This window comes from Homo sapiens, chromosome 5, assembly GCF_000001405.40.
Source record: "Homo sapiens chromosome 5, GRCh38.p14 Primary Assembly".
NCBI lineage: Eukaryota > Metazoa > Chordata > Mammalia > Primates > Hominidae > Homo > Homo sapiens.
This window is the reverse complement of record NC_000005.10, coordinates 131,319,067-131,334,629: the sequence shown is the minus strand read 5'-3', so window position 1 is coordinate 131,334,629 and position 15,563 is coordinate 131,319,067. Positions and strand designations below refer to the sequence as shown.

Sequence of the window (15,563 nt, the reverse complement as noted above, 5' to 3'; positions counted from 1 at the left end):
CAACAATTAATAGCCTACCAACCAAAAAAAGTCCAGGACCACATAGATTCACAGCCAAATTCTACCAGAGGTACAAGGAGGAACTGTTACCATTCCTTCTGAAACTATTCCAATCAATAGAAAAAGAGGGAATCCTCCCTAACTCATTTTAGGGAGGCCAGCATCATCCTGATACCAAAGCCGGGCAGAGACACAACCAAAAAAGAGAATTTTAGACCAATATCCTTGATGAACATTGATGCAAAAATTCTCAATAAAATACTGGCAAACCAAATCCAGCAACACATCAAAAAGCTTATCAACCATGATCAAGTGGGCTTCCTCCCTGGGATGCAAGGCTGGTTCAACATATGCAAATCAATAAACGTAATCCAGCATACAAAAAGAACCAAAGACAAAAACCACATGATTATCTCAACAGATGCAGAAAAGACCTTTGACAAAATTCAACAACCCTTCATGCTAAAAACTCTCAATAAATTAGGTGTTGATGGGACATATCTCAAAATAATAAGAGCTATCTATGACAAACCCACAGCCAATATCATACTGAATGGATAAAAACTGGAAGCATTCCCTTTGAAAACTGGCACAAGACAGGGATGCCCTCTCTCAACACTCCTATTCAACATAGTGTTGGAAGTTCTGGCAAGGGCAATCAGGCAGGAGAAGGGAATAAAGGGTATTCAATCAGGAAAAGAGGAAGTCAAATTGTCCCTGTTTGCAGATGACATGATTGTATATCTAGAAAACCCCATCATCTCAGCCCAAAATCTCCTTAAGCTGATAAGCAACTTCAGCAAAGTCTCACGATACAAAATCAATGTGCAAAAATCACAAGCATTCTTATACATCAATAACAGACAGAGAGCCAAATCATGAGTGAACACCCATTCACAATTGCTTCAAAGAGAATAAAATACCTAGGAATCCAACTTACAAGGGATGTGAAGGACCTCTTCAAGGAGAACTACAAACCATTGCTCAATGAAATAAAAGAGGATACAAACAAATGGAAGAACATTCCATGCTCATGGGTAGGAAAAATCAGTATCATGAAAATGGCCATACTGCCCAAGGTAATATATAGATTCAATGCCATCCCCATCAATCTACCAATGCCTTTCTTCACAGAATTGGAAAAAACTACTTTCAAGTTCATATGGAACCAAAAGAGAGCCTGCATCGCCAAGTCAATCCTAAGCCAAAAGAACAAAGCTGGAGGCATCATGCTACCTGACTTCAAACTATACTACAAGGCTACAGTAACCAAACAGCATGGTACTGGTACCAAAACAGAGATATAGACCAATGGAACAGAGCAGAGCCCTCAGAAATAATGCCGCACATCTACAACTCTCTGATCTTTGACAAACCTGACAAAAAGAAGAAATGGGGAAAGGATTCCCTATTTAATAAATGGTGCTGGCAAAACTGGCTACCCATACGTAGAAAGCTGAAACTGAATCCCTTCCTTACACCTTATACAAAAATTAATTCAAGATGGATTAAAGACTTACAGGTTAGACCTAAAACCATAAAAACCCTAGAAGAAAACCTAGGCAATACCATTCAGGTATAGGCACGGGCAAGGACTTCATGTCTAAAACACCAAAAGCAATGGCAACAAAAGCCAAAATTGATAAATGGGATCTAATTAAACTAAAGAGCTTCTGCACAGCAAAAGAAACCACCATCAGAGTGAACAGGCAACCTACAGAATGGGAGAAAATTTTTGCAACCTACTCATCTGACACAGGGCTAATATCCAGAATCTACAATGAAGTCAAACAAATTTACAAGAAAAAAACAAACAACCCCATCAAAAAGTGGGCAAAGGATATGAACAGACACTTTTCAAAAGAAGACATTTATGCAGCCAAAAAACACATGAAAAAATGCTCATCATCACTGGCCATCAGAAAAATGCAAATCAAAACCACAATGACATACCATCTCACACCAGTTAGAATGGTGATCATTAAAAAGTCAGGAAACAACAGGTGCTGGAGAGGATGTGGAGAAATAGGAACACTTTTACACTGTTGGTGGGACTGTAAACTAGTTCAACCATTGTGGAAGTTGGTGTGGCAATTCCTCAGGGATCTAGAACTAGAAATACCATTTGATCCAGCCATCCCATTACTGGGTATATACCCAAAGGATTATAAATCATGCTGCTATAAAGGCACATGCACATGTATGTTTATTGTGGCACTATTCACAATAGCAAAGACTTGGAACCAAGCCAAATGTCCAACAATGATAGACTGGATTAAGAAAATGTGGCACATATACACCGTGGAATACTATGCAGCCATAAAACAGGAGGAGTTCATGTCCTTTGTAGGGACATGGATGAAGCTGGAAACCATCATTCTCAGCAAACTATCGCAAGGACAAAAAACCAAACACCGCATGTTCTCACTCATAGGTGGGAATTGAACAATGAGAACACATGGACACAGGAAGGGGAACATCACACACCGGGGACTGTTGTGGAGTGGGGGGAGTGGGGAGGGATAGCATTAGGAGATATACCTAATGCTAAATTATAAGTTAATGGGTGCAGCACACCAACACAGCACATGTATACATATGTAACAAACTTGCACGTTGTGCACATGTACCCTAAAACTTAAAGTATAACAATAAAAAATAAATAAATAAATGTTCAAGGTTTTTGTATAACCCTGTACAGTCAGAATCGTGAACAATATTGGAGAAAAATGTTTTTAAATGTGGTATTTGAAATGATCTTTATTTTCATACTCAAAAAAGAGCCTGTAATAATAGAAAGCTTTGATAATGATGTTATGATGTGGAAGATTTCATAAACAGAAAATACTAACCAGTTGTCAAAGAACATGAACTATTTCTCCTTTCTGGTCCATAAACCTACACAAATCACAGTGGGTCAAATAAGAGATTCAGTATTCTTGGATTCTCTGTTCTTTTTGTATGTTCTACATTTTAAAAAATCACAGATAGAAAATTTCCCTAGATTATAAAGAAAAGTCCAACTAGATTATAAAGCCATGATGTGGAAAAAAAATTGAATGTTAATCATATATTTCACTATATACTTTGACAAATATAATCTCATTTAATTTTTGTAATCCTAAGCGGTATTATCCTTACTTTGGAAATGATGAACCCACAGCTCAGACACAGTAATTTAAGACAGAGCATTTTCTCTCTATTCTTTTTTAAGAATATAGGGAAATGTTAGTTTAATCTATTTCAATGTTATTTTAAATTATAATTATGTTGATTCTTATAAGCATTATTGAGGTAGAATGTGAATTAACATTCTCTGTTGCATTTGACTTGGTAACTTGTCTCAGTATTTACAAATAAATACTTAATACATTAATTCCAACATAAAAAATATATAGTACGTAGAATTTCCGTGAATTTGACATTGGCAAAACCTGTGTTCAAAATAGATTTCACAACTGATTAGATAAGTGACATTCAATAGCCTCTCTGAATCAAAGTTTTCATTTATGAGAATTATACCAACTTTCCAGGATTGCTCTAAAGCAGGATTTCTCAACCTCAGTGCTACTGACATTTTCATTTAGATAATTTTATTTTTTTTGAGAGAGGGTCTCGCTCTGTTACCCAGGCTGCAGGGCAATGGTGCAATCACGGCTCCCTGCAGCCTCGACCTCCTGGGCTCAAACAATTCTCTCGCCTCAGCCTCTAGAGTAGCTATGACTACAGGCATGCACCACCAAGCCAAGCTACTTAAATTTTTTTTTTTTTTTTTTTTGTAAAGGCAGGGTCTATATGTTTCCCAGGCTAGTCTCGAACTCCTGGACTCAAGTGCTCCTCTTGCTTTGGCTTCCCAAAGTGCTGGGATTACTGGAATTACAGGAATGAGCCACTGCACCCAGCCCAGATAGTACTTTCTTGCAGGCACTGTCCTGTGCATTGTGGGATATTTAGCAGCATCCTTGGCCTCTATCCACTAGACACGAACAGTACCCCTTTCCACCTGTTGTGACAACCAAAAATGTCTCCAGACACTGCCAAATGCCCCTGGAGAGTGATTCCCCCAGTTGGGAACCACTGTCATGGGGAAAAATATTATTATAAAAGTGAACTGAAAAAGAAGTACATGATATCCCTCTACTACAGGGAATCCCCTTCAGATGGGAGGGATAAGGAAAAGATTCCCTAAGAAGCCAAGAACTAATGACATTCTCCTAAAAGCAACAATCAGGAACAGAAAAAAAAACTCTAATAACCTTGTGTGGTATTAGTTATTCTTGGTTATTCCTCCAAATTCCTCTACATTAAATTCAGGTGACCTTAGTAAGACTTGTTTGACTACAGAACAAGGCTTGGATCTTAGAACGTCATAAAAAGCTTTATAGCTTCTGCTCAGATTCCAACTACCCTAAAACCGTCATGCTGGAAAGACCATGGCGCAGACATAGGCCCAACTGAGCTTAGCCTTCCAGCCTTCCTAGCCAAATCACCGGACGTGTAAATAAAGCTGCTTAGAATCCTCCAGTCCTGCCCACCTATTAGCTGAATACCATTAGCTGATGATGCTACATTTAAGAGAAGAATTGCCAAGACTTGCCCAAATTCCTGACCTTCATGATTGAGAGATATAATAGAATAATTGTTGGTTAAGCCACTGAATTTTGAGGTAGTTTGTTATACAGTGATAGATAACTGGAGCGCTTCTTCTTTTTTTTTTTTTTTTTTTTTTTTTTTTTTTTTTTTTTTTTTTGAGATGGAGTTTCACTCTTGTTGCCCAGGCTGGAGGGCAATGGCACAATCTCAGCTCACTACAACCTCTGCCTCCCGAGTTCAAGCAATTCTCCTGCCTCAGCCTCCCAAGTAGCTGGGATTACAGGGGCCCACCACCATGCCCAGTTAATTTTTGTATTTTTAGTAGAGATGGGGTTTCACCATGTGGGCCAGGTTGGTCTTGAACTCCTGACCTCAGGGGATCCGCCCACCTAGGCCTCCCACAGTGCTAGGATTACAGGTGTGAGCTACCGCGCCCAGCCTGGAACTCTTAATTCTTATGATTATTTTCATATAGCTTGTGTATATTTTGTATGCCTATACTCTTCAATTAAAGATTTTTATGTGCTTCGAGGAAATCTTGTTTAACTATCTTTCTTGGATCAAATGAAGTCATCCAATTCTTACCAAGAGGAACAACTGTCATGGACTTCTGGTCCCTTCCAACAAAATCAACCGTAGGGAAGAAAAAAACAGAAGTAAATCTGGATTCCAAGAACAATAATGGCAGCAACAACAAAAGGGAACAAAAACTGCTGGTGATACCAAAAGCTGTACTTAACTTTTCTGAAAGGAAACTGGTAACCTGGAGCCTGAAGCAAAGGGAAGCAGAGGTAGGACTTAAAAGAGAGATATGCTAAAAGCTCTTTAAGATTTTGCCTTTCCCTCCCCCTTGATTGCCCCTTAGCCACAGAAATTGGCAGCAACAGCCTAGATGTCTTTGTCAGCAGTTTAAAATCAGGGTGGCACAGAAGCCTTAGAGAGGAAAGCTCAGGAAAGCAGACACAGACTAATAAGCCATCCTCTTGGCATTCACTCTTCCCGCCCCTCTCTGTGCCCCCACCTTGTACAAGGGGCAGGGGAGCTACAGGGCTGGTAGTGAGTTATAATCTAAGGAGATAACCTCTTTCCAGTATCCAGTATTATTTATTTATATGAGTGTAAAAACAAATCCCAATCAGAATTTGCCTGATGCAGTAGCAGCCAACAGAACTTGACAGCACTTCAATGGTGCCAGGTGGCGGCTATTTGACCTGGGTCCCAAGTCCTTCCTTTCCTTAAACTCACCTGGACATAAATTCCCTAACAGATATTATTAGACTAAGTGACTAATACCCCGCAAGGGACACAGACAAATAGACACATCTATAACATAAACTACTGTGAAAGAAGGATGACTCACTAAACAACTTATGCCATCTGAAGCAGTATTACTGGAATGAATGATCCAAGAATGTGTCCCTAGAAAGTCAATGGAAGATATAAGTATATGAAGCCAAAACAGGAAACCATGAAAAAGGATCAAGTAGAAATACTGAATATGTAAAACAGACAATATCCAGGTAACAGAGTTCCAGAAAGAGGGAGGGAAATGAAACATTTCTAGGGAAGAATAAACATTTCAAGAAATAATAACTTCCCAGAATTAAAGATAAAAGAAGTGAAGAATGTAAAGCCTCAAACAGCCAAATAACAGAAGAGCCCATTCCTAGAAAATTTAAGATTATCAAAGAAAAAAATCTCAAAGGCTGGAAAAAAAAGAACACAGTAATGCCAAAAGTAAAAGAATAAGATTAATATTAGATATCACAAAAAGTGACACTGGACACAGGATGGGGTAGTGTAAATCCACAATCCTTTATCCATAATCCTTGCAGCAGGGGTTTTTTCAGAATTCAGAATTGCTATGGTTTGAATGTATCCCCCAAAAAAACATGCATTGGAAACCAAATCCCCAAAAGATTAATGCTGTCATCATATTTAAGACTATGTGCCCCATTTCAATGGGTTCATTATAAAAAGGGGAGTTCTATCTTCTCACTCATGTTCTCTCTCTCCCTTCTGCCTTCTGCCACAGCAACATGTTGGCCCGTTGATCTTGGACTTCCCAGCCTCCCAAACCATGAGCCAATACACTTCTGGTTCATTATAAATTACCCAGTCTGTGGTATCTTGTTATAGCAGCACAAAACAGACCAAAACAATGATTTTTCAGAGTATATAAAGATAATATGGTGTTTGTATGTATATCACATATTATGTAACATCCACAACAGCATCTAAGGCACTAACCCATAATTTAACTCATTAATATCTTGAAGCAAAATCTATAAACATTAACACTAAATGAGATGAATAAAATCCGTAAGTAGCCTCATACCAGTTTGGTTTGTGTGTTGTAGTCAAATAAATTATGAAAAACCCTTTGATTATTTGGTTTTAGAATACCAGGAAAGGGACTCTTGACCTGTATTTTAAAAGTTTTGAATTAAAGTAACTTTAAACTTAGAATTTTACATCCAAAACATCATTCCAATATGATGTTAAGACAAAAATATTTTCAACATACAAAGCCTCAGAGGGTCACATAAAGCCCACTAACTGCACATTTGGAAGAATACTCAAAAGAAAAAGAAATATAGGAGGTACTCCAAGAGATAAAGAAAGCACTCCAAGAGATAAAGAAAGTAAAAGTAGTCAAATGCCTTAGTAGCCATAAAAAGTGATCTAAAATACCAGCAATATACTCACTGGGGATGGGGAGTCAGGAGACACATTAAAAGAACGTATGAGAATGCTAGAGTATCTGTCATATTTAGGGGAAGAAAAAGCCATTTTAAAAGTAAGAAATATACAGAAGTAAACTGAGGAATGGGTCTAAAGGGCAATCATCATAAGAACAAAAATAGAAAAAATTTCAACTTACCCAATGAAAAGCAGGAATGGAGTTAGTCAAAAGGGAAAGGGATGAAAATTAAACCCAATTAGAACAGTAATTACAATAATGTAAATGAGTTGAACTTGCCAATTTAAAGACAAATTAGTATAAAACATTTTTTATGCCAGGTTAAAAAATGACAGAGCAATATGAGTAATACTTAAGAAAGGATAAACCAAACAAATATGAACCACAACAAAGCTAACATAGCAATCTTAATAAAATTTAAGGCAGGCCAACCATGGTCTCATGCCTGTATTCCAGCACTTTGGGAGGCCAAGGCAGAATGATTGAGTCCAGGAGTTCAAGACCAGCCTAGCCAACATAGGCAGATTCTGTCTCCCTAAAAAAATAAACATAATAAAAAATAAATATAACAAAATTTAAGGTAAAAAATATCAAGAAGGACAAAGTGAGATATTACATATTTATAAAAATAGTAGAACAAAACCACATAATCATCATGAACACATCCACATCAAACAAAGTCTCAATATATGTCAGAAACAACTGTAGAAAATGGAGGGAGAAAAAGCTAAAATCAATTGCAGTTGGAAATATTAACACTCAACTGATCAAAAACAGTATAAGCAGATATATTGAAGATCCAAGCAATAAAATCAGAGAATACATATTATTTGCATAAGCACATAGCATATACACAGATAGGTCATATAATAGCCCAAAAAGCATGGCCCAAAACACAAGATCAATAACCATACACATTGCATTATCTTACAATAATGGGATAAAACTAGAAATTAATGACAAAAAGATGGTTTTAAAAATCTCATTTGGTCACGAGGTCAGGAGATCGAGACCATCCTGGCTAACACAGTGAAACCCCGTCTCTATTAAAAATACAAAAAATTAGCAGGCGCAGTGGCAGGCGCCCTTAGTCCCAGCTACTCTGGAGGCTGAGGCAGGAGAATGGTGTGAACCCGGGAGGCAGAGCTTGCAGTGAGCTGAGATTGCGCCACTGCACTCCAGCCTGGGGGACAGAGCGAGACTCCGTCTCAAAAAAAAAAAAAAAATCTCGTTTGTAAACTAAATATATTACTAACTCAGATTAAAACGTAAAAACATTAAGAAAATTTTAAAATACTCAGACGTTAACAGTAATGAAAATTCAAGACTACCCTCTAACTGGATCAATTTTTGCTGACTTGGTCACTCCTGAACCAATTATTGTGACCAAAGTAATGGCATGAGCCAACAGGTTCCTTGAACCAAGACTAGGATTAGGCTGATTTGCTTAAACCAATGGGAATCTACAAATACAATAGAAGAAGCAGTATGTAGTGAAAGGGAAATCTGATTATCATATTAGGAAGAGGAAAGAAGAGATATATGGAATAGTAGGGAGGCAACATTGCTGACAGAACTTTAATTCCAGTTCAGCCACCATTCTCTAAGGTTAATTACTGATCATATAACATGAGATGGGACCTCAGTTTCCTTGGGTAAAAAATGAACATGATATTTAAGAGTCCCTTTAGCTCTAGGAGTTTGCAACTACATCAGCTGTTTTGTTCAGGCTAAAATAGAGCCTGGCACATATTATACCATTTGCTATGAGTGTACAGAATGAATAGGAAGTTTACCACACTCAATTTTGAGAGATTCTTAGGACTACTACTTCAAAAAAAAAAAAAACCACTTAATGGATCTCCAATAGATAAATGGGAAAAGGACGCAAATTTTAAAATCCACAAAGGGGAAGCTGGTAAGCTGCTTTTAAAATATTCCAAGTTTCTAATTTAAAAAGTGAAAAATTAAAAAATTCAACTACCATTTCATATCTATTCAAATATTCAATGTTGATAAAGAAGCAGAGAAACTAGCAACTGCATACACACTATAGTAGCTGTGTAGATTGGTAGTGCTTTTAGAAAGTATTCAAAATTTTCACATTTAATGCATCATTATCACTTCTGGAAATCCAAAAGTAATCCTGACTAGTCCAAAAGAAAGCAAAATACCTATACACACAAAAATGTTTTCTTGCAATATTTCTTATTATAAGAGGGAAAACTCCAACACAACCTAAACACGTAACAACCAGGTAATAATTAAATTATGGTTAGATAATAGATTATGTAGCCATTGTCACAGTATTCAGAGAATATATTTAACAAATTTTATTATTTAAGGGCATCTAAAGAGTCCAGTAACTATGAGAAATTTACATTAAAACTGATATGAGCATTTGATTTTTAAAGTTTAAAACCTAAAACCTTGTTTCTAAACTTTATCTGACAAATTTCGTACCCCATGTTTTGAAAACGTCTGGACTTCACCAAGAGTGGGCCAAGAACAATTACATTTTGGATATAATTCACAGAAATATTAACTTCCAAGAGTATCTGGGGTATTTTTTTATACTAAAGGAGAAGATAATATAGCTACTCTTATTGAATGTGCAGCTTATGAGCTTTTGGACTTTTTAAAAAAAATGTGTGGAAAAATGTCAGTATCTACCATGCCAAAGAAAGTATTGGTCTTATTTTTACTACATGCTTTATATTTTTATGTTTCATTAGCTCAGTCCCACATGAGACCAGTGCCTGCCCTGATTTCTGGAATGCTGCCCCAATTCTTTTCTCCTAGGCCTTGTTGCCAGGGTTGCAGCTGCACAACTAATTCTTATTAAAATGTAAGTCTTTGAAATGCAGGTCTACGGAAAGGGATATAAAGGATTTCATTATCTTTTCTCAAAACTCACAATGAGGATTAAACTCCCACCCTTCCCAAGCCATACCACTACTTGTGCCCTTCTCTACCAAGTCACACACCAAATATAATGAAGACAGCAGCTCACCCTTAAATATCCAAATAAAAACAGCCATGAAGGAGAGAGCTGCACAGTAATGAACCTTCAGGTCTGGCAAAAGTTATTAAAAAATGACTTCTAATACTCATAATGTAGTCACAGGCTACAGCTGGATATTCATACAGTGATGTGATTTTAGAAATAATACTTCTAAAGAATAAATACTTGGAAGAAAAAATAGGTACTCTGCAATAACAATTTCAGAATAATTTCAGAAACTTCAAGTCAGAAAAACAAGAACTGCAAGTAATTTACTCAAAATGTAAAATACTTTATAAGCTATTAATTTTGTTGTAGAACACTCACACCCCTAAAATTTTCTTGAAAAAGCAGGAAAAAATTTAAAGACAATTTACATTCCTTTCCATTTTTTACTAGAATCTCATGTACTTTTGTCTCTGGATAAAATTCTTAACAACTGATCTTGCTCTTGAACAATTTATGATTAAATTCATCTTGTGAGAAAAGTTAACACACAACTGTCAAGACCATAAAGATAAACCTATTTTCAATTAAAAGTAAACAAACAGATCAAATCCTCTCATGTAAAGTAAAATGACACAGAGTTTTTCATTAAAACACATTATTTTAGATGTTGGTACACTACTGGAATTCTAACATGCAGAACCTTAGAATTTTAACTGTGTCAGAGAAAAGAATTAAGGTTAGCAAAATTACCTAGGGTTAAGTACACATATCCTAGTCTGTTCCCTAGGTGACTCACATTTAAATACAAAAAAAAAAAAAAAAAAAAAAAAAACCAGAGAGAGAGAGGTACAATCCCTTGAGGATCTCATTATAAAACATGCACTTCAAGTTACAGAAACAAAGCACATTCAGATACAATTCTAAAAAGTGGCTACTAGTTGTATTTTTTAGTAATAAAACTGAAATCATTAACTTAAATGTACTTCATAACTTCATAAGCTTTTTAAATATAGAAGAAATATATAATTAAAATACTTGTTAAAAATATAGATTGGGGGTCGGGCACAGTGGCTCATGCCTGTAATCCCAACACTTGAATGCCAAGGTGGAAGGATTGCTCGAGCCCAGGAGTTTGAGATGACACTGGGCAACATAGAGAGACACTGTCTCTACTAAAAAAAAAAAAAAAGCCAGGTGTGGTGGCACATGCCTGTGGTCCCAGCTACCTGGAGGGCTAATGTGGAAGGACTGCTTCAGCCCAGAAGGTTGAGGGTGCAGTGAGTCACGATTGTCCATTATACTCGAGCCTGGGCAACAGAGTGAAAGCCTGTCTCAAAAGAAAGAAGAAAAAAAAATATTTGGGATCACCTCACACCCCTTAGGATGGCTACTATGAAAGAAAACAAAACAAAACAAAAACCACACACAGAAAATAAATGCTGACATGGATGTGAAGAGGAAATCTTTGTGCACTGTTGGTGATACCGTAAAATGGTGCAACTGCTATAGAGAACACATTATGACAGGTCCCCAAAATATTAAAAACAGAAATACTATCTACTTCTGGGATATATTTGGAAAAACTGAAGGCAGAGCCCTGAAGACATATTTGCCCACCCACATTCATACTAGCCAAGAGGTAGCACAACAGCCAAGAGGTAGAAGCAACCCAAATGTCCACCAACAGAAGAACAGATAAACAAACATACAATGGAATATTATCGAGCCTTAAAAAGGAAGGGCAGTGGCACATGCCTGTACTTCCAGCTACTTACAAGACTGATGCCAGAGTACTACTTGAGCCCACGACTTCAAGTCCAGCCTGGGCAATAAAGCAAGATCTAATCTCTTTTAAAAATAAAAAATAAAAATAAAAAGGAAGGAAATCCTGTCATGCTATAAAATGGATGAGCCTTACGAACACTATACTAAGTGAAATAAGCCAGTCACAAAAACATAAATACTGTATGATTCCATTTACATGAGGAATCTAAAGTAGTCAAATTCATAGAATCATAAAGTATGTGGGTACTGGGGGATGGCAATAGGGAGAAATGAAAATTTGTTATCTAATGGGTACAGAGTTTCAGTTTTGCAAAGTGAAAAAGTTCTAGAGATTGGCTGCACAGCAATGTGAACATACTTAACACTACTCAACTGTACACTCAGAAATGGATAAGATGATAAATTTTATGTGTCTTTTACCACTACTATAAAAAAAATTTTTTTCTGCCAGGCGTGGTGGCTCATGCCTGTAATCCCAGCACTTTGGGAGCCCGAGGCAGGTGAATCACGAGGTCAGGAGATCGAGACCATCCTGGCTAACACGGTGAAACCCCGTCTCTACTAAAAATACAAAAAATTAGCCAGGCGTGGTGGCGGGTGCCTGTAGTCCCAGCTACTTGGGAGGCTGAGGTAGGAGAATGGCATGAACCCGGGAGGCGGAGCTTGCAGTGAGCCGACATCGCGTCACCGCACTCCAGCCTGGGCGACACAGCGAGACTCCGTCTCAAAACAAAAAACAAAACAAAAAAAACATTTCTAATGTAGATTGGGGGTGACCTCACCCTTGGAGATTCTAACAAATTGAAAAAGATGAAAATTAGGTGAATCCCTTTTTTCCTTTTACCCAGTACGACGCTTGATGATTTTGGCGGGGGGGAAGATAGAATTAAGTTTCCCACCATTATCCTACCCACCCAGTTGTCTTCCCTCAATACAGCCCCTAATATTAGCTTCTTGTGTAGCCTTTCACAGATACTTTATGAATATACCAGCATATATGTATATTCTTTTTTGAAATATTTTTATGTAGCATTATACATCACGGGCACCTTTTTCACTTAACACTTTATCTTAGAAATCAGGCAATATCAGTACCATTTTAAAGAGATGAGATCTATGTTACCCAGGCTGGATTTGAACTCCTGAGTTCAAACAATCCTTCCCTATCAGCCTCCCAAATAACTAGGACTATCAGCATGTGCCACTACACCCAGCTAATATCAGTAACTTTTAAAAAACTGCCTCTTTTAAGTTTTAAAGGCTGCATTTGTATCATACTGATATAGGTCATCTTTCACAGACGGAAGTTGAGTTGTTTCTAATACTTCACTATTACAGTACTGCAAAAACTAACCCTGTATATTCACACAAGTGAGAATACGATGAACTAAACCCAAAAGCTACAGAATTTAACCATAAGATAAATTCCAAGAAGTGAAACTGATGTATTAAAGAGCATGTACATTTAAATGTTCAGTAGGCATTTTAAATTTGGCAGATGTTTTCCAATCTCCTAAAGGAATGTGCCAACTTATACTCCCTCTAATAAGGCATTAGAATACCTACATTTCTTTCAAAACACGTTTTCTAAGAAGGCTTCCCTAACTCCAAGAATATAAAGAGGAAAAATTCATTTTCTTCCTCTGAAGATAAGGATCTGATTTTTTCTGATGGCTACCCAGCTATAATATTGCCAGAAAGAAAAAAAATAATTTTCTCCACTGATCCGATACGTGCTTTCATCATATTCTAAATTTCCATATGAATTTGGGACTCTTTTTATTCTGTACCACTGATCTATCTACCAGAATTATAATGTATTAATTGCTGTAATTTTAGAATACATTTTTTTTTGAGACAGAGTCTCGCTCTGTCGCCCAGGCTGGAGTGCAGTGGCGCAATCTCAGCTCACTGCATCCTCCGCCTCCGGGTTCAAGTGATTCTCCTGCCTCAGCCTCCCAAGTAGCTGAGATTACAAGCATGCGCCACCATGCCTGGCTAATTTTTGTATTTTTAGCAGATATGGGGTTTCACCATGTTGACCAGGCTGGTCTCAAACTCCTGACCTCAAATGATCCACCCTCCTCGGCCTCCCAAAGTGCTGGGATTACAGGCATAAGCCACTGCCACCCGGCCAGAATACATTTTTAATATCTAGAAGAACTAATTCTTTTTTTTTTTTAATCTTATTTACTTATTTTTTGAGACAGAGTCTCGCTCTGTCACGCAGGCTGGAGTACAGTGGCACAATCTCAGCTCAATGCAACCTCCACCTCCCAGATTCAAGCTATTCTCCTGCCTCAGCCTCCTGAGTAGCTGGGATTACAGGCATGCACCACCACGCCTGACTTAATTTTTTTTTTTCTATTTTTAGTAGAGACAGGGTTTCATTATGTTGGCCAGGCTGGTCTCAAACCCCTAACCTCAAGTGATCCACCTGCCTTGGCCTCCCAAAGTGTTCGGGTTACAGGTGTTAGCCACCACGCCCAGCCTAGTTCCTTTTTTAAATGTTCTTTTTTTTTTTTTTTTTTTTTTTTTTTCTTTAAGACGGAGTCTTGCTCTGTCCCCCAGGCTGGAGTGCAGTGGCGCGATCTCCGCTCACTGCAACTTCTGCCTCCCGGGTTCACGCCATTCTTCTGCCTTGGCCTCCCGAGTAGCTGGAACTACAGGCACCCGCCACCACGCCCAGCTAATTTTTTGTATTTTTAGTAGAGACGGGGTTTCACTGCTTTAGCCAGGATGGTCTCAATCTCCTGACCTCGTGATCCGCCTGCCTCGGCCTCCCAAAGTGCTGGGATTACAGGCGTGAGCCACCGTGCCTGGCCTAAATGCTCATTCTTTTAAAGAATTTTTCTGGATAATCTTCCTTATTTTTTTCCTTATAAATTTTAGATTCAACTAATCTTTAAAAATCCTTTTAAAAATTTTATCGGGATGTTACAGACTGGAAGAGAACAATATTTTTCAGATACTGAATTACGATGGTCAGTTTCTAAGTATTCTTTTGGGTCCTGGGTGATTCTGCTATAAGAGATCTACTTTTTGAGAAACAATACTGCATGTCAAAGGAAAGAGTAGTGGTGCTTGCTAAGGGGCAAAGGAAGCCAGTATACAGAGTGCAAGCTCTGTCTATGGGGGTACAACAGCCTAACTATATTAGATATCAATATAAATTTATCCTTGTTGAGAAGACCAAGAAAATTTCTTCACAGAGGCAGAAACTATACTCCAAACTACTTTCTATGGCCCTAGGGTAAGAAAACAACTGCAGCTGAAGTAAGTGGTTTCGAATTCCATTCCATACAAGAACTCAAAATTAGTGGTGAACTACAGGCTTGGAAAACCAGAATGAAGTGAGGCACTGAGGGTGGGGGGAAAAGTCATATCGACCTTTCTCCTACCTTACACCCCCAACTCATCCCAGCACTTTGGGAGGCTAAAGCAGGTGGATCATTTGAGGTCTGGAGTTCGAAACCAGCCTGGTCAACATGGTGAAACCCCGTCTCTACTAAAAATACAAAAAAACTT

At 37.8% G+C, this 15,563-nt stretch overlaps 1 protein-coding gene across 11 annotated transcripts in view; it reads right to left on the bottom strand.

Moving 5' to 3' along the window:
* Positions 1 to 15,563, bottom strand: part of CDC42SE2 (CDC42 small effector 2) — a 184,621-nt gene that overhangs the window by 60,043 nt on the left and 109,015 nt on the right. The gene's annotated exons all lie outside the window — the stretch shown is intronic.